The sequence below is a fragment of the Homo sapiens genome, chromosome 4 (genome assembly GCF_000001405.40).
Source record: "Homo sapiens chromosome 4, GRCh38.p14 Primary Assembly".
Lineage (NCBI taxonomy): Eukaryota > Metazoa > Chordata > Mammalia > Primates > Hominidae > Homo > Homo sapiens.
In genome coordinates, this window is record NC_000004.12 from 20,549,979 (window position 1) to 20,570,393 (window position 20,415).

Here is a 20,415-nt window from a genome sequence, read left to right on the forward strand (position 1 = left end):
GGTGTGTGGGAAGGTACTGTCAAGTATATTGGAAGGATTCCAAAAGTAACTGTCTTGTTATTCCCCAGACAAGACTTTGTCCATTTAGAAGTTAATTTTTCCACCAACTATTTAAGAGTACCTTTTTCAAAACACTCTTGCAAACACTGAATATTATTTATTCTTTTATTTTTGTCCATATGACAGATTCAAAGTTATTCTGCGTTCCTGTCTTAATTTGCACTTCCAATTAGTAGAGCATTTGAATATATTTTATTTGTTTACTAAGCACTCGTGCTTTTTATTCTAATGAGCTTGATCTATCATTTCCCCATTTTCTGTTGGGTACTTTATATTTTCCTTATTAATGTAGATATCTTTATGCATATACTACTTTACTCTATGCTTGCAGGGGTTTTTTTTAAATGAAAGAATTAATCCTTATATCTTATATAAGTTGCAAATATATATTATTCTATTTCTTATATGGAATATTTTATTGTTTGGATATATTTTATGTTGTCAAAAATTTCTCCCTCTTTTCCTTGATGGTTTCTGGATGTTATAACTGAGCCTGTGAAAGCCTTCCTCACTCCACATTTATAAAAGGAAGATCTTCTTTATTTTCTTTTAATACATTTTTATTTTTACATTTAATTCTTCATTCTGGAATTTATTTTGTACACATAATGTGAGGTGGAAGCCATTTGCTTTCTCAGGTATCCAGTTGTACCAAAACTGTTTATTTTATAGACCGTCTTTTCTGCACTCATTTAAAATGCTTATTATAAACTAAAGTCTCGGAATTTCTCTGGAGTCTATGAGTTCAGAAATATAGGAAGTTTAATTTTTCTTTTTCTTTCTTTTAGTTCTCTACATGGAAATGACATTTCTGTTGTGCCTGAAGGTGCTTTCAATGATCTTTCTGCATTATCACATCTGTGAGTACCTAGTTTATGAATATAGGTTTAGGGTCAAACACTTCCTAATGAGTGACTTGGAACATTCCTCTGCCAGTTATTTTACTGTAACATCATAAGATGTAATTGGTTTCATCTTTAAAGAAAATGTGAAGATTTTCAAACTGGATATGATGCCTTCTGCAAGATGGCTTTAATTTTCCCTTCTGGCTCTTATTTTCCAGTAGTCGAATTATCTTTGCTTAGCTAAACATGTCTCTTCTACAAATATGGCTCTCCAACTTTACTAGCCTATGCTTTTTCTCTCATTATTATCTGATTCTAGAACATCAGCTCCCTTTTAATTATCTATCCTAACCCTGCTTTTCTAAGTCACATCTCAAGTATCACCTTCTCTATGAAGCCTCTCCTGATTTGCTCAAAGTGGATTTACTTATTCAGCATCAACTGTGGCACCACACAAAAATAAATTCAACATGGTTCGAGACTATAGTTTGGAAGTAAGACACAGCCAAATACTTAGATTGGGTGAAATGGCTTTTCCTTTATGTTTTCTCTGATCACAACTTGTTTGTACCTCCATAGTTTTTGGAAGTACAGTATAACCATTTGAAAATATGTGATAAGTGTGGTCCAAAAAACTCATTTGGGTCAAATTCCATGATTTTATTATTACTAGGTGTAATGTTAAGATCATGGCAAACCTAGAAGGAAGTTCAGCCAGCAGCCTTAGGATCCAAAGCCTCCTTGGCTGATGCTGAGTTGGGTGCTTGGTGGCAACTATCTATTTAACTATGCCTAAACAGCAATGTCAGTTGTGCCCCAGTTTCCTAGAAGAGATTGCCTGCCATATCCTCTCCTGGTTTTGCACTTCTCTCGAAAACCCACAAACTCCAAGAAGATACGATTTTACAAAATTGAGAAAGGAATAATCATTTTTCACTCCAAAAATATACATATGATTGGAATTTTAAAATTTGCCACCCAAAAGTCTACGCTTTTACATCTTCTTTGAATTGAATTGAAGATCCAATGTTCAATCACATTATGTCTGCATTTGCCTTATAGAGTCTGTGTTATCAATTGATGTTTTGTACATCAGTCTATCAGACTGGTGCCTATTAATATTCCTTCCACTAAACTACTAGGTCCAGGAAGGCAGAGCCTTTACATTTTCGTGTTTGAGCCAAGAACCTACCTCTAAGTCACTCCTTTACAAACTCCATGGCTGCCACGTGCATGAGCTGCAATATGAAGGAAGCTACTAGCTCAGAGATGCAGGGCTGTGGTGCCCTCAGGCAGAGAATGCAGGCTGAATGAGGAGGTAGCCGTTCTGCTAGTGTTATGGTCAGGCATCAGAAAAGGCTTCACAGGAAAGGTGCTGCTTGAGCTGAGCGGAACTTCCCTTCATGTTACCAGCCTCCTCCCGCAACAGTGAGAGCAAGTAGAGTCTTCCTTGTTCTGTGCCCTGCTCTGCCTTGCATTTCTTTTTTTTTTTTTCTTTATATATATAAAGAAATTTTATATTTTATATTTTATTATACTTTAAGTTCTAGTGTACATGTGCACAACGTGCAGGTTTGTTTGTGCCTTGTCTTTTACCCCCTAGATCATAAAGAGCTCTGCTTTTTCACTTTTCCCACTTCCTCCCCTGTCACATCAAGGACTTAAATGTTGATAGAGATGAGATCAAATGACTAAAAAACATCATTTTGCTCATTTTTAATTTGGAAGGGTTTGAATCTGACATACATATGCAGGTAACATTCACTACATTCTGATTCTTAAACGGGGCATTAAAACTTCCACAGTATCGAGTATTATGATTCTACACATATATTTCAGGGGCTACCTAAAAAAAATAAGATAACTATCCTGACGGTAGACCTAGTAGGATTACTAGTTAGAAGCTAATTGTAAATCAGAAGTAAGCAGTTTTTAAATGCCATTGTATGCATCTACGGCTTCAATCCAACCTTTATAAGGTTATGAGTCCAGGTCTCAGTTTCTTAATCTGTAAAGTCAATTATTAATTAAATGGACCTTATAAAGTTACTATTTAGGATAAAATGAAGTAATTCTTATAAATGGCTTATCCCAGCTCCTGCATATAGTAATAGTGCAATAAATGTTAGCTATTACCTTGATTACTTTCCTGTCACTACTTCTAATGAACAACCGTAAAATGAACGATCTTGAAAAGTGACAGACAGCACCCAGTGCAGGTCCAGCTCAGCTCTGGTGAGCTAGCTCTAGACATCTTCAGTATTTTATGTTCTTTCTTTGTACTTACCTGTCCTTTATCTGTATCATTATTCCCAACCTTTCTTTCTACTTAACTCTAACTATCCTACACAGCTTAGACTTTCTTAACCACCAGCCTCCCAGAAAAGTTAATCTGTTTGTTCACCATCATCTTGTAAATACTTCTCCTACATCACTTCTAATGAAACTTCTTTGCATCTGTGAGTATATCCCAATGCTAATGCTAATCTCCTCTGCAGCAGGGGTTCTTTGGAGGTAAGAATAATGCATTATTTATATTTGGGTCCTCAGAACCTTGCATTGTGACTTAAGTCATCAGTAAATAATTGGTGAATGAAATAGTAATGCACTCGGTGTGTTTACACTCAATATAAACACGTCTCTGAAAATATTAGGAGACCTTCTAAAGCAACATGAGTGTTGACACCAGTGACAACTCACTAAATCCCAGTGCACATCATTCAGGAAAATGGGGAATCCCCAGTGTCTCTATTTTTTTGCTAAATTGTTATCCTCAATAAATCTATGGGGATTTTCTGCTGAGCATCACTTTGAATTCTTTTGCCCTTAGGAAATAACAATACTTCCATACTTGTGTGTGTGTGTGTGTGTGTATGTGTGTGTGTGTATGTGTGTGTGCTTCTGTGGTGTTGTTTTTCCAGAGCAATTGGAGCCAACCCTCTTTACTGTGATTGTAACATGCAGTGGTTATCCGACTGGGTGAAGTCGGAATATAAGGAGCCTGGAATTGCTCGTTGTGCTGGTCCTGGAGAAATGGCAGATAAACTTTTACTCACAACTCCCTCCAAAAAATTTACCTGTCAAGGTATGGTTTTTAATCATTTGTATTTCTTTTAAGAATTACTATATTAAGTAAAAAAGAAAAAGACAACCAATTGTCAATCCAAAGGTATGGTTGAAATGCCCAGTAAATGATTATTTTTTCAGCCCATGCTTGGACAAGACAGAGCAGTTACCTGAGGTGCCCAAGTAAAGAATTAGGCTTTTCAAATAAATCTCAGAAATAGTCCATTGGTAATGACCAAGTTTTCTTGAAAGTGTATCAAAAAACGTAGAGTTCACAATTTCTGGAAATTCCTTTCATAGCCTCTAACAAGTCAAATGTTTTGCTTTTGCCCTGTCTGAACATGTGCCCTGCTCCTAGGGCTGCCAGGGCCCTGTGGCTTCCTCATACCAGGTAAGGAGAAACAGGCCCTCCCCAGTGTTCAGCCCAAACCTTCTGACTCGCCTTATGTGCTGCAGCCTTCCTGTGTTGATGTTCTTGTTTCTTGCTTGTTTGTATCCCTTTCTTTTCCCTTTGTTTGATGTATTTGTGAATCTAAATATTGTCAGAATAACAAATATTATTTTCCTTTTTATTACAAGAATAATACATGCCCCTAAATAGAAAAATATGAATAATAAGAAACAATTTATTTTCTGCAAGAAGAAATAAAATTAACCATTAGTCAGCATACCTGGAGATAACGACTACTAAAGTTATTGTGTAAATATTTCCACTGATGGTAGTCAACTATATGGATTTAGGTTCCTTATAAAAAGTGGGATAAAGTTTACTATTATTCTTAGATTGTGGGGTTTTGGGGGGGCTTTTGTTTTGTTTTTTTTTTGTTTGTTTGAGACAGAGTTTCCCTCTGTAGCCCAGGCTGGAGTGCAGTGGCACGATCTCAGCTCACTGCAACCTCCACCTCCCGGGTCCCGGCTCAAGCAATTCTCCTGCCTCAGCCTCCCGAGTAGCTGGGATTACAGGCATGTGCCAACATACCCAGCTAATTTTTGTATTTTTAGTAGAGACGGGGTTTCACCATGTTGGCCAGGCTGGTCTTGAACTCCTGACCTCATGATCCACACCCCCTTGGCCTCCCAAAGTGCTGGGATTACAGGTGTGAGCCACCACGCCTGGCCAGATTGTGTGTATTTTAAGAAGGTCACTCATCATTATTAGATGGAGGAGAGAAATTCTTGAAAATGTTAAATGTCTAATCAGAAAATATTGATTAAGCATGTTTTATGTGCAAAACTCAATCCTAGGTGTTATGGAGCATAGAGAACTTCATGGTATGGCCTTGCCTTCCATGATTTGAAAACCTAACTAAAAAGATAAGCTTTCAACATTTGAATATTTATGGAGGAAAAACGTACTTAAGTAGGTAATGCTGTGCGGTGGGTTGCAGTGTGAGCTCTGAAGCCCAGCCTGGCTGGAGCCAAATTCCAGCTTCACTTTTTGGTAAGAGTTAACTGTAGTTTAATTACTTTACTAGTCTGTGCCTCGGTTTCCTCATTGTAAGCAAAGGTGGTGATGGTTACAGTCTGAAAGGATTTTGTTAAGATTAGATAATATAGATAAAAGACTGCCTCAAACACAGAAACATTCAATATGTTAGCTGCTGATTGTATTGTTATAACATTTCAAAACACCAAAAAAAGGTGATGTAGGACACTTCATGGTTTATTAATAAAAAAGTAATTTTCAAATCCTATACATACCCTCAACGTTTTTAATTTGGCCTCTAATCTATTTCATGGTGGTAAATGTTTGCAAAAGGTAATTTGCACCACATTGTAAATATTGACATTTTAAAACAAAACTCATCTGAGATTTTTTTTAAATGTATCTGGTGGAATCTAAATATCAGAGCTAATTTTATAAAAGGAAAAAAACAAGATCCCCCTTAATATATTGCATTGTTTTTTTCTTAAACTGTATTTTCTCCTTGAATTCCTATTTTCAATACCCCAGAAAATTGTGTCATTTTTTTGCTCCAAAAACTATGTATACAATTGAAATTTTAAAATTTCCTGCCACCAAAAGGCTGTAAGTTTTTACATCTTCTTTGAATTGAATTATTGCTGTTAATATTAGTGCATCACTGATTGAAACTACATAATTATTTATCAATATTTTATTTTATTTAAAGTTGAAAGTGAAATTTTATTGCAGTGCCTCTCTGGGATTATGTGCATTGATTGCAAGAATTTTTGCAATAATCTTTCCTTTACGATCCTAGATCTTTATTGGGACAGTGTCCTGTGATAAGTTTCTGGTGGGCTGAGAAGTATATCATTATTTTGTAAAGTGAGAGAGAGATGATTGTCAAAGGGGAGGAAAGGAAGGTGAAACTGGCATAAAACCTTCTACTCAGCACATTATCAGGCAAATTTCATGGGGAAGTTGACAAACTGCAAACTGATTCTGTTACACCTTTCTGTGCCCAGCGATACTCATACTTTATTTTCAATAATGCTAATGCTTATCTGTATTTCTTAAAGTTTATAATTCCCTACAGGTATTTCTTGAAAAAAAATTATAACACAAATCTGAAAAAAGTTGCATATTTGTACTCCACTCTTAGAGCATCACAGTTTACACTAATTTGTGAAATGCTCTTGGAAGTCCAAGATAAGTCCCCTGTCTCTCTCTCTCTCTTTCACCTTGGGAATCCCAATTCTCTGAGACCCAACAATACTGAAATTAGGCCAGACATAACACTACAGTGGTCTCTAAGTGTTCAAGTGAAAGAAAGAGTCTCATATCTCTCACATTAAATCAAAAGCTAGAAATTATTAACAACAACAACAACAACAAAAATGTAGCAAGGAAGGCCACGTTGAAAGCCGAGAGAGACCCAAAGCTAAGCCTCTTGTGCCAAACAGTTAGCCAAGTTGTGAATACAAAGCAAAAGTTCTTGAAGGAAATTAAAAGTGTTATTCCAGCAAACAGACCAATGATAAGAAAATGAAACAGCCTTATTGCTGATATGGAGAAAGTGTTAGTGATCCAAATGGAAGACCAAACCAGCCACAAAATTCCTTTAAACAAAACCCTAACCTAAAGCAAGGCCCCAACTCTCTTTATTTTTATGAAGGCTCAGAGAAGTGAGGAAGCTGTAGAAGAAAAGTTGGAAGCTAGCAGAGGTTGATTCTTGAGGTTTAAGGAAACAAGCCTTCTCTGTCACATGAAAGTGCAAGGTGAAGCTCCAAGTACTGATGTAGAAGCTACAGCAAGTTACCCAGAAGATCTAAGATAATTGATGAAGGTGGTGACACTGTTAAACAACAGATTTTCAATGTAGATGAAACAGACTTTATTGGAAGCAGATGTCATCTAGGATTTTCATAGCTAAAGAGAAGTCAGTGCCTGGCTTCAAAGTTTCAGAGGACAGGCTGACTGTCTTGTTAGGGGCTAAGAAGTTGAAGCCAATGCTCATTTACCATTCCGAAAATCCTAGAGCCCTTGATAATTACGGTAAATCTACTCTGCTTATGCTCTATAAATGGAACAACAGAGCCTAGATGAGAGTACACCTGTTTACAGCATGGTTTCCTGAATAATTTAAGCCCATTCTTGAGACTTGTTGCTCAGAATGATTTGTTTCATAATATTACTGCTTCTTCACAGTGCACCTAGTCACCCAAGAGCTCTGATGGAAATACACAAGGAGAATGATGTTTATATGCCTGCTGATGCAATATCCATTCTGCAGCCCATGGATAAAGGAATAATTTTGATTTTCAAGTCTTATTTCAGAAATACATTTTATAAGGCTACAGCAGCTGTACATAGTGGTTCTTCTGATGGATTTGGGCATAGTAAATTGAAATCCTTCTGGAAAAGATTCACCATTCTAGATGACATTAAGAACATTTGTGATTCATGGGAGGAGAGCAAAATATCCATATTAACAGGAGTTTGGAAGAAGTTGATTCCAATCTGCATAGATGACTTTGAAGAGTTGAAAACTTCAATAGAGTAGGTAACTACACATGTGGTAGAAATAGCAAGAGATTAGAATTAGAAGTGGAGCCTGAAGATGTGACTGAATTGCTGCAGTCTCATGATAAAACTTCAATGAATAAGGAGATGCTTCTTACGGATGAGCAAACAAAGTGGTTTATTGAGATGAAGTCCACTCCTGGTGAAGATGCTGTGAACATTGTTGAAATAGCCACAAAGGATTTAGAATATTATATAAACTTAGTTGATAACACAATGGCAGAGTTTGAGAGGATTGACTCCAATTTTGAAAAAATGTTCTACTGTGGATAAAAGGCTATCAAACAGCATCACATACTACAGAGAAATATCTGGTGAAAGGAAGAGTCAATTGAGGCAGCAAAATTCATTGTTGTCTTATTTTAAGAAATTGCTACAGCCACCCCAACCTTCAGCAACCATTACCCTGATCAGTCTCACCAGCCACTAACTCCAAGGAGACAACCTTGGCTAGCAGAAAGATTACAACTAACTGAAGGCTCAGATGATCATTCACATTTTTTAGCAATAAAATATTTTATAATTAAGGTATTGCATTTTAAGACACATTTAACATATAATAGTATAGTTAAAAATAACTTTTATATGCACTGGCAAACCAAAAAATTTGTTTGACTGTCTTTATTGCAATATTCACTTTATTGCGGTAGTCTGGAACCAAACCCACAATATCTCCAAGGTCTGCCTGTACATACATTCATACCTACGTACATCTTTGTGTAACTCAGTATTTATCTGACTAACTTGAGCTTTTTTTACATTTAATGACTATAGAATCTCATATACTTAATGTAGCATGAATGGAAATATGTTTCAGGGAAAATTAGCACTTTTCAGCACTGCCCAATACAACTTTCTATAGTAATAGAAATGTTCCAAATCTGCACTATTCAATGTGGTAGCCACTAGTTACATAGGATTATAGAGCACTTACAATATGGCTAATGCAATTGAGAAAAATAATTGTTATTTTATTTTATTTACCTTTAAACTGAAATATACATGCATGTCTAGTGGCTACCATAGTGGATAGTGTAGTTGCTACAAGAACTCAGAGGGATAATTTGTGTAAAAGAAGGAGGGCTGTGAAAGATGTAATGACATAAGTGGACAAGCAGACAAGTGTGAGGATAATGCTACAGGTGGGCATAACTGTGGGAGCAGAGCTTGCACGTAGGAAACTTCTGGACCTGTTCCAGGGCCACCAAAAACAGTTGAGCTAAAACTTGTTAATTGTCAGATGATGTAAAGCCTAAATTTATCATTTCAACTGTGGAAGTTCAGTTTAATATTCACTAAACTATAAGATCAATAGATTGCACGTATTTCAAAGTATACCTTAAATAGCAAACAGCATGCGTGTAAGCCAGTTGGCAAGCAGAGTAGACATTCAAGACTCAATCAATATAGTTGCAGTTGCGTTTAGAAGACTTAAGAGTTTACTCAGTTTTTCTGTAACTGAATTTTAGAGTGATAGGCACTGAAACTTACAGTGCCCTTTGCCAGCATTTGTCTCAGCATTTGTCAAGCTATTTTGAAGTTTCATTGTCCTATTAATGAAGACTCTGCTAGTTCAAGGTTTATGACAGTTTAGACTGGATAGTTGCCAATACTACTACCACTACAAATAATAATAACAATAATAGCTAAGTTCTATTGAATAGTTTACCTAATGCTGAGTACTTTACATAGATTTTTATCTCTTTTAATCTTTCCGCCATTCTTATAGTGAAAACTATCATTTCCCCATTTGAGATATGAAAATATTGTATTTTAGAGTTATTAAGCAATTTTTAAAAATCACTCAGCTGCCGACTGGAGTCAGAATTTGAACCTTGACTCTGATTCCAAAGCTTACTGCTTAAGTTTATTTTAAAGTTTTTAATAAAAGTATTTTCAAAATAAATTTTCAGTGTAAATAAGATTGCCACCCTATTATTGAAACATACTTAGAAAATGAAAATTCTGAACTACCCTCAAAAGCTTTACTAGAAATATTTACTTGTAAAAATGGATTGGTAGAAGGCCAAGTATTTTAATCTATTAATTAAAATAATTCATTCAAGGAAATCCACTGAGTACTATACTATTAAGCATATATGCTTTTTGAGTTTTAAAGCAGCAAAGTCATGTTTCTTTAAATGTTTTATAATTGAGGTTTACATATTTTAACTTAACTTTCCCTCTAGTTATGCCAGTCTAATGTATTTTTATTTTATTCATGAAAATTATGTAAGTACAAACTCTCAATATTAAGGTTTGTCAATGTATAATTTCAAAATATAGCAGGAAGACAAATATTTTTAATTGAATGCATGTTTACATAGCTATATTTAAATACAATTTAAATGTTTTTTTCTGCTAAAGGATGCCATGCTGTTATTTTGAGTCATTAACTATTTTAATAAAGACAAAAGTGTTTTCTTTATGGTAAACTCTCATCATTTTGATGCATAACAGAAATAAATGAACAGGAAGAAATTGATTATCAGATCATATTTAATTAATACCCAGATAGAGCATCCCTGAGTGGGAAGCAGATGGCCATGACTTGTCTTTATAACCCAAATGTCCTGACCTCATCTTTTAAATATAAGATGACGTTAGAGTGATTAAGCAGTCTGCAATAAAACAGTTTTTGTCCTCTCCAGATAGTCATTGAGAAAGTCAGTGTGGAAAGTGGAACATTGTTAATTTCTAATATTCCCTTTATTTCTCTTGGTTCAGGAAGTTTTAGCTATGGAGGCAACTAAATTATTTTTTTATTTGAAAGACATTTATTAAATAATTACATATGCTAATGAGTGAACAATCTAATGGAGATGACTTACATGTGCTGAAGAGTGAACAGACTCATGGAGATGAATGATATGTTTATTCATTAATTAAACAAATATTATTCAAGTTCGTACAATGTTCAAGGCACTGTGTCTAGGTGATAAGAATACAACAATAAACAATTCAGAGTAAAACCTCTGTCCTCATGGACCTGATACTCTACTGATAGATACTTTTAAATAGATAATTCTAAAAAATGGTATGGAAGTCTGGTGATAGAAATATGTGTAAGATGCTAATAATATATCTATACCAGATGACTATGGAATTGTAACTGATACTGTCAGGTCCAAGAGGCCAACAGGAAATTCTTCTTTTGAATCAAATGGAGTATAACACAAAGAGGGGAGGAGGCCCAAAAGGGGAGGGGTCTGGTAGCCATGAGCTCAAAAGAAAGGCCAGGATACGATGCTGAATGTACCTCATTACTTCATTTGTAAAGGCCAGCTGAAGGATCAAAGAAACCTGAAACATTGGCATAACCCATGATAATCAACATTTAGCATGCTGTGGTTGATCTCTTCCTCTAATTTTATATGTTAGGAATCCTCTAGATTCTGGAATTCCTGTGAAAAACTTCACAATTCTCAGCAATAACATTGTAATATTATTGTTTTTCTTAGCAAGTTGATGTTTTCCATTTTGGACGAGTTTTTGATAGGCTTGAGTGGGAGCTTTTGTTCTGTGTCTTAAAATTATTGATATTGTCGTTAGTCGTTGAATTAAGCATGAAGGTGATTAAATAATTGAGCCCAACCTAAAGCAATGAAAAATTCAGTTTTGAAGCATTATTTAGATCAGTTTTGAAGCATTATTTAGAATAATAATTATTCAAAACTGATCAGTTAGATCAGTTTTGAAGCATTATTTAGAACTTGGTCAAATCTTTTTTACATTTTCAGATTTAGTATTACTAGTACATAGTTGTATCTTGGAAATTACCTTAGATTTTGGAGGTTTTGATTTGCTTATTGGCTAAAGAGAACATTCAGGTTTGGATATGGTAGTATGCTAAACGTACCATTTAAAAAAGGGGGGGCTCTTTTATTATACTTTTTAAAACTTAAAACACTGGGAAAAACTTAACAGATATTTATTTTAATAGGTAAAGAGAACTAGCAATTAATGCTCTGTTCTTATATGTTTTACATCCATATTCTCTCCAATGCAAAGATTTTATAAAATAATTATTGCCCTTTCCATGTAATTTTGGCTCAGGAAGTTCATTTAGTGGCCCAAAGTCACATGTAGGTGTTGCGAATGGCCAAGCCTGGTAATCCAAAAGGTGTAGTAATTTAGCCTTTGTGTTTTTAGCTAACGATTTTTACAATGCAAATTTACAGGATTTTAACCTCTGTCATCTGGAGATCATCTCCACCCCTCCACTGAAACTAGAACACCAGTATCTTCTATCTTGCCAATTTAGTGGCTTCTTTTTACTTATCTTTATTTGCTGTCTTTACATCTTCGACATTGGTGGCCACTTCTCCTTCCTCTACAATCTCTTGGCTTCCTCATTCCTTTTATTTTTTCACCCACTTTTTCATGTAGACATGTAGCATTCTATCTTTAGCCCTATCAAATTCTCAGTAGATTTCAATCCATGCCTTTAAATTTCTAGCCATGGCTTTTCTTAAGAACTTCACATTCATATTTCCATTCACTTAGTGGATTCTTCTCCCTTGATGGCTTGCAGAAACTTGAAACACATATTCTAAGACATGCATTCTCATTCCCCACATCCACTCTCTAATTGATACATGTATGTCTCTCCTGCTAAACTGTAAGTTTTTTCAGAAATTCAGGCATTTCACTTGTCTTTGGTCTCTGAAAATCTGGCCTAGTCCCTGGCACAATGTAGATGCTCAGTAAATATTTGATAAATTAATGATGGAATGTTGTTAACAAATATGCATTTGGTATTATTAATAAAACTTGAGAAATGCCATAATGTAATTGCAAGTGGAGCGTAAAAGCATTGGTTTTAAATAAAAACCTTCTTTTAGTTAATTATACCCAACATCAAATATCCCCAGGATGTTTTCCTGAGTTGCCTTTGATGTACCTCTGGCTTGATAGAAGGGCAGTGCTAGAGGATTTTGTTATTTGACCCATGTTTCCAAGGGATGCCAGAATGAAGGCAGATTCTAGAATATAGCTAGAAGTTTTTGTCTGGAGCTTTTGGTAATAAATCAAAATGAGATACAGTACTCACTGGGTAGCAATAGTGGTGTCAGGTGCGTAACTAGTGATTTTAGTCAAGTAAGCTAGTCTGCCTACAGGCTTTAATGGAATCGAGGTCCAACAGTTCTTCCATTAAAGATTAAAGTAACTGACAGAGACAGATTGTTAACCAAACTTTCTTCTCATTTTCTCTTTGAATTATTAAGCTAACCACACCTCCACCCATATAGCTAATGCTATAGTGCTCTCTTAATCAAAACCAAATCTTAAATCAATCCAGTTCACCTCGACTGTTCTCCTTCATTTTAGTGATGTTAGTAAAGATCTTTATCCCTGAAGCTACGTTTCCTTTCCCCTCCGTGGCACACATCTCATGAAAGCTAATTTGTTAATAATATGTTAACATTTCTTGGAACCAGTTAGCTTTAGAAAGGAGAAAAGCTTAAAGATTGCAGTTCTTTACCAAGCAGCAATGAAAGAACAAAGAGAACCTCTTCTGTTTCTTAAAGGTGTACTATTATTTCTGGTGCTTGTCCACACCTAATTTGTAAATCACAGTTGCTTTCCCTAACAGCTTAAAGTCATTAACTCTCAGTGTTGTACCCGGTGCCCACTTCTATTTCCCATGGGTTTCCTAATAGTCCCTGTAGTTTCCCCAAATTTGAGCAGCTCCTAGCATATATAGAAGGCTCTCAGGGAGACTGTGATGAATAGATAAACAGCAAGATCTAATTTGCCTTTGTCTGTGTTGAAATTTGGACAAACAAGAAAATGACTGCTTTTCTCCTTTTAAATAAAACACTTTTTGTTCCTCCTACCTATTCCAACTCTCTGGAAGTCTAAGAAAGAGTGTCAGTACTTGCCGTAATTTTGTATTTGATCTCACTAGGTTCCCTCCTTGACATTCATTGACATCTTAAAACAACCTATTGGAATGGCTGCCATTATCCTAATACCACACACTTAAGTAGTAAATCTGGGTTTAACTTGGGTTGGTGGATTTCAGATCCTATGCCCAAGATTGCTACATATTATGGACATCTTTTCACCTAGGACTGATCAAGTGTGGAAAATTCTGCCAAGTGTTGGCTTGCTCGTGGAGAGGTGTGCTTCTTCCCTCATTTTATGACTTTATTTGGCATCTCTTTTTAGCTCTGATATTATCTCCTTATTGTATAAACAGATTAAAGTTGTCATTCTCCTTGATTAAGAAGATTTCAGGAGAGGTGCTCTGAGAAAGTGTAGTGGATAGAAAATGAATCACAAGTTGAATGCAAACAGAAGACAGAAGATGGACTTAGAAGGGCAAAATATGGACAGGGAGATGAATGGGAGGAGAGCCAGATGCAAAGAATATTATTTCAAGAGATTAGACTATAGAAACAAGTGGATTTAGATAAACCAGGTAGATGTAAAAATCACATTCTGAAAAGGATTTTTGGTTAAGGAGAATTACAAGCTACATAAAATAGGAAAAGAAATTATATCATATTTAGACCTTTAGAGATATGAGAGGAGGCTGCTATGTGGAATTTGTTTGACTTACAAACATCTTTTGTATTACCCTTCACTCAAACTCAAGTGCTAGAAATAAGAAATGATTGTTGAATAACTGGGTTTTAAAAGATATGAAAAACAAGAAGCAAATAGAATGATAGCTAACTTTACCATTTTGGTAAAGTTGGTAGTCATGAGCTTTACCAACCTGAAGAAGTTGGAACTCAGTATTTTGCTATATTCCCAAACCCTATGCCACAATCAGTTCAGCAGGTTTAAGAAATTGTTAAAAGAGTCCTGAGTGTATGAGAATGCTTGTTATCTTGATTTTTTTTTTTTAGCTAAACTGAACATATATGAGGAGGCAACAATCTCCCATAACAAATTCCAGATATGAAAATAATTCAGCATAATTATCGCTGTGGAAAACCAAATTTGGTCTGGAATAAAATGCAAAGAAATTAGATAGTGATTATTAATCAGATATGGTCCGGTGGACATTTATTAAATAAATCCCCACTACGTGGTAAAATGAACATGAACTACTTCAGCCAGGCAATGATGCTGCCAGTATACTCGATTAAATTCTTCAAAGTGTATTCCATTTTCTTCCCTAAGACAATCTCTTTAATTTCTCATCTAATTACTCAAACATAATTTTTGGAACATGTCACATTCCACAGGATGAACTTACAAACTGCCAACCCCAAACTCCTTTTATTTAAACCACAGCCTTACAAGGTTGAAAGCACAGTAACAGGCCAAAAGACATTTTTTCTCGAGGCCGTGGGATGTGGCCAGATAAATGCTTATAGTCGTTGCATTTGCTGACTTGCTGTTTTGCTGGCATACGTTCTTCACCGTTCCATCCTACGCCTTTGTTCTGAGTTAGGTTCTTTCCTGTAAACTATTAAGGGATCTGCTAGCAATGAGCTATTTTCTTTCCTCTTGCTGACTCATATATAACTTTAGCAAACTCAAAACCATTTATTGTTAGGTATTATGCTAATTTAACTAACTGCTTTCACTGTCACCATTCATTTCTGCAGTGTGCTGAACAGCTAAGTTTTTTGCCCTTAATTGATAAATAAATTGGGGAGGGCGGAGAGAAATTAAATTTCTATGGAGCTTACTTTACTTCAGAATTAATGCCAGCAGTTTCCCAGCTGTAATTTGATATAGAGACTCCTTTAGTTATTGTAGTTACCAAGACAAAATGTAAGGGACATTAGCACTGGCACAGTCTCTCCTAGTGACTGAGGCATCACTAGAAGAAGTAAGCACCACCTCTTTCCCTTAATACGGTCATCCTAGGAACAGTTAATTTTCTCCTAATGGTTAAAAACAAACAAACAAAAAACAATTTCTATGTGGATACATTTCAAGAGTTTTTTAATCGATAGGAAAGCTAAACACTACAGGACACTATCATTTTCATGGATTTTAATTCAATACTGTTACTTGAATATGTGCTAGTATTTCCCAGGGTAAAGGATATGAAGAGATACAATGAATCTCTGTGGCCACCATATTTATTCATGTTCTCTTACATACATGAGTTTCTTTCAGTAGATCAACAACGCAAGCGTGGGCTGTAATCTGTAGAATAATTTGATGCAGGTAGTTTATGTGAGTAGAAGTTATATAGCTTTTTGGTGAAGGCACCTTAGAAGGTTAGAGCAGTAACGGTGGGGGTGCAGAGCTGCTCTGTAATTATCCACATAACTTTGCTAGAAATTGCTTGTGATAAAATGTTCAATTAGAATTATTGCTGCTTGTTCCAGTGAAGATAAAGAACTACAGAGAAATACTACAGAGTGAAATATAATTAATGTTGACAGTAAGAAATGTATGTGTTTTATGTATAAAGATGTCAGTGTCCTTTTCAGACACATTTGCCAAAAGGCCTTGTGGTGAGCTCTCACACAGAATGCACAAAGTATCATAGGTGGAACATACTTTTATTGAGGACAGTACAATTTCCACATTGTTAGTCATTTGTCCAATAAGTATTTGTGAACAAAGGAAAATGGCTGTGGCTAAATATGCATTTAATCGAGACCTTACAGCTCTTGAAGTCTTTTAAAGATGTCTCCCAAAACATGATTTTGCAAGTAAAGATCGTTTCAAAGATGTTTTCTTTTTGGAGAGGAAGATACAGAAACATCACCCATCACATATTGTGCAAATGAACCAACAAATAAACCGAATCAAAAGGAAATGAGGGAGATGATAATGAAGGTTACACTTTTGGTTTATTTCTATATGCATAAAGTGGCACTGTTTTGTATCTCCTATATGAAAGTCGTACTACTGAGTCAATGTTACCTGGGCAGGTGCATTGTATTGTGTATTTAATTACAGTGTTAAATTTCTACTTATTTCTAAAATTTGCTCACCCCACACCACACCCACACACGTAGTCTTCTCTGGGACTGACAATAGGCATGTCCATGAAGCAGGAGGAGGTTAAAGTACAGACAATGACCAAGAAACACATCCACATAAACTAGTCAGCCCATGAGGGGACTCTGTGACACTGGCACCATTAACATCAGATACCAACTCAGAGTCCCACACTGACTTCAGAGAGGCTCACAGTACATCCAATTGAGAAGGCCTCCTGTTGCATTCTTGAACATCATCGGAGGATGCTGATTTCTGGCTTGTCATGGATGAGAGACACATATAGATATGTGACCAATAATAATTTTATATGAAATTTACCATTACATTAAGGCATACAAGTAATTAAAAGTAAACTGGAAGAGCGTCAGTTGCTTATATTTTTGAATTAATTTTCAGGTCCTGTGGATGTCAATATTCTAGCTAAGTGTAACCCCTGCCTATCAAATCCGTGTAAAAATGATGGCACATGTAATAGTGATCCAGTTGACTTTTACCGATGCACCTGTCCATATGGTTTCAAGGTAAGTAAAAGCACTTTAAGAGTCACAGTTTGAGAGCATAACTTTTCTTGGTGTGCCTTTATTATTCTACTGTGCTTTCTGTATGTGCCAAGAACTACTTCACTCGACTATACTTGCCCCTTCTTCTCCAGGGGCAGGACTGTGATGTCCCAATTCATGCCTGCATCAGTAACCCATGTAAACATGGAGGAACTTGCCACTTAAAGGAAGGAGAAGAAGATGGATTCTGGTAGGTCATTAGTCTATGACCATCTGTGTCTGAAGTATTGGAGCAAAGATAACTAAGCCAACATACATTTTCCTTTTCAAATCAAAGGACAGTATTTTTCAAAGAATTTGAGAGAAATGGCAATATGTATTGGTCCCTCTCGTAGATATTGCAATATAAAAAATAAATGGAGACACTACAGCATTCTCAGCACAGGATGCTACAAAACCAAAACTAATTTACAAACATACACATGTGCACATTATGGTTAATCAGGTCAGATTAGGGCAAGACAAAGTATTAATATTGGCTCCATTATACTAATTAATAGCCAACTAGTCCCCTACTGCTAGTCATATATTCATCTGTTGTTTTGCTTATTGCTTTAACAGACAGTGTGTAATGACAAGATATAGGTCCCACTGAAACAGAAAATTAACGATTTATTTCCAAGACACAATGTAAGTAGACAGACTTGCTGTGAACGATTTTAATCTGGAGTTATTTAATCATATGGTACAATTACTTCAGATGTACTTCATGAATTATGAACTGGAGCTCTTTATTAAATGACACTAATAATGTCACATAAGAATGCTAATATACTACTAAAACTTGTTAGAATTTCACTTTTTAGAAGAAATAGACTTCACTGCTGCATTCTATTATGAAGTTCTCTCTTATTCATCTAGACTTTACTCAAAAATTATTCGATACATACTCAAGATAGTTTTATGCCAGAGGAAGGATTGTATTTAAGACAAAGAGAACATTCACATTTTGTAATTGCAAGGAAGACAAAATTTTGTTTTCGGATTTTTTTTTTCAAAACATCAAGGACATTATAAGTATGTTAGTAGATATTGCAATTTTAAAGATCAGAACCAGTTCCTCTTCATTTATGAGCAAAGAAGCCTGAATTATTTTATTAGAGCACAACTCAAGATTAAGATATCTAGGGCTGTGGAATAAAACTGCTTGTGTTTTAGACCTGCAAATACAGTGGGTTTGTTGACTTTTAAGACCATGGAACCATTTGCCTTCTTGCAACCGGCATAAATTTTATTTTTTGAAGGGTTTCTGCTTTGGTGGATATTACCTTAAATTGATGTTTACAACATGTCAGTTAAAAGCATTTTAAAAAATCAATTTCTGGTAGTTAAAAGCTCTATGGTTGATGAGTGTAATTATGCTTTTTTCAATATTTAGACCACATGACTTTAAAATGCAACAAAAAGATGTTTTTTGCCTTTTCTCCTCTGGCATTCAGGTGTATTTGTGCTGATGGATTTGAAGGAGAAAATTGTGAAGTCAACGTTGATGATTGTGAAGATAATGACTGTGAAAATAATTCTACATGTGTCGATGGCATTAATAACTACACATGCCTTTGCCCACCTGAGTATACAGGTACAAATAATAGGAAATATTTTGCCTTCCATCAGTATATCTGTTTGAAAGCATCATTGGAACTATGTTATATATGTTTAGTAAATCTTTTTTTATTTGATAAATGGTAGGTGTCTTGAAAATCAGATGTAATGTAAATAACATAAGGACTTAAAGATAGTTTCAGCTAACCAAATAAAAGACCCAGGAATCTCTGTTCAAACATACGCATCTATTATAAAGCCATGCTATCCAGTAATAAAAGAAGCTATTTTGCTAAAGCTTTTAGTCCCACAATTAAATGGCATTTTTGTGCAAACCATTTTCCCTGTGCAAACCAATCCCCAGTACCTGTGTGTAAAGAGGACATTTATTTAATAGCCAAAACATAATTAAGCTTTTGAGATCATTTGTCTTCATACTTGTGTCTTCGCTAGTGAGTATTTGCCTCTAGTAACCCATGTCCCTCAAAATAAAAGTCAGGAAGATATTGAGCACTTTGGATAGTCTTATAAGACTATCACCTTTTTTCTAACACTTTTGTTTCTTTGGATGACACATCTCATTAGAGTATTAATTGCTAAACTTCCTCCCTATTCAAACCAATTTGCTCTAAAGTCAACATCAAGTTTATGACTTGTCTGTTTTGTCAGAATTGATTTTTTATTTTTATTTTTTGTGGCTCCGAATTAGAAACTTCATAGATATGCTCTTTTTCCTTTAATAAATTACTTAACATTGACAAAGGAAAAACAAGAAAGTTGTACATTTTATTTGTAAGAAAAAAAATGGAGAAGTAATTTTGATCACTCTACTCAAAGTTGCCGTTTTCATTTTCTGGGTGCATTTCATTTACTATGTCTGTTTTCATATAATTTAATACATAGCGAGAAAATCAAAGGATGAAATTACAATGCAGGTGACTGGAGTTAACATCTCATAACATGAAAGATGAACATACATCTGTATAATTAAATTTTCCCAGGGATTTGTTGGAAAATTATTAAAACGGAAGCTTTTATGGAATACCCAAACTGAACTTTACTAGGTACCTTTCTTGATGGGAAAATGCTAGGTAGAATAATGAGGCTCGGTTTTGGCAACCCAGATCTGTTTGAGTGACTCTGAAGGCTGCCTTTTCTAGGGTCTTATTTTTAATTTTTATTTTTTTGGCACCAATAAAGCACCCAATGTCATGTAAAGCAGTAATAGCATATTAAGTTTCCAGTAGAAATTTGAACGTGCTGTATTACCAAGTCTTCTAGTAGTTGTCTATGGCCCTTCGACTGCTTAGTGGGTGGAATTTTAGCATTATTTGATATTTTACATAAACAAAGAATAGCAAGTATATTCAACATGCACCTTTCTAGAGTATCTGGAAAGAATGTAAATGTTATGTAGCTTTGATTT

At 35.2% G+C, this 20,415-nt stretch overlaps 1 protein-coding gene across 8 annotated transcripts in view; it reads left to right on the top strand.

The window, feature by feature from the left end:
• Positions 1-20,415, top strand: part of SLIT2 (slit guidance ligand 2) — a 368,657-nt gene that overhangs the window by 298,074 nt on the left and 50,168 nt on the right. For all 8 annotated transcript variants that reach the window (XM_005248211.3, XM_006713986.3, NM_001289135.3 and 5 more), the window contains 5 exons: positions 849-920; positions 3,827-3,990; positions 17,284-17,408; positions 17,540-17,637; positions 18,887-19,026. In XM_005248211.3, the coding sequence (XP_005248268.1) occupies positions 849-920; positions 3,827-3,990; positions 17,284-17,408; positions 17,540-17,637; positions 18,887-19,026 (599 nt within the window). The remainder of the gene's footprint in view (positions 1-848; positions 921-3,826; positions 3,991-17,283; positions 17,409-17,539; positions 17,638-18,886; positions 19,027-20,415) is intronic.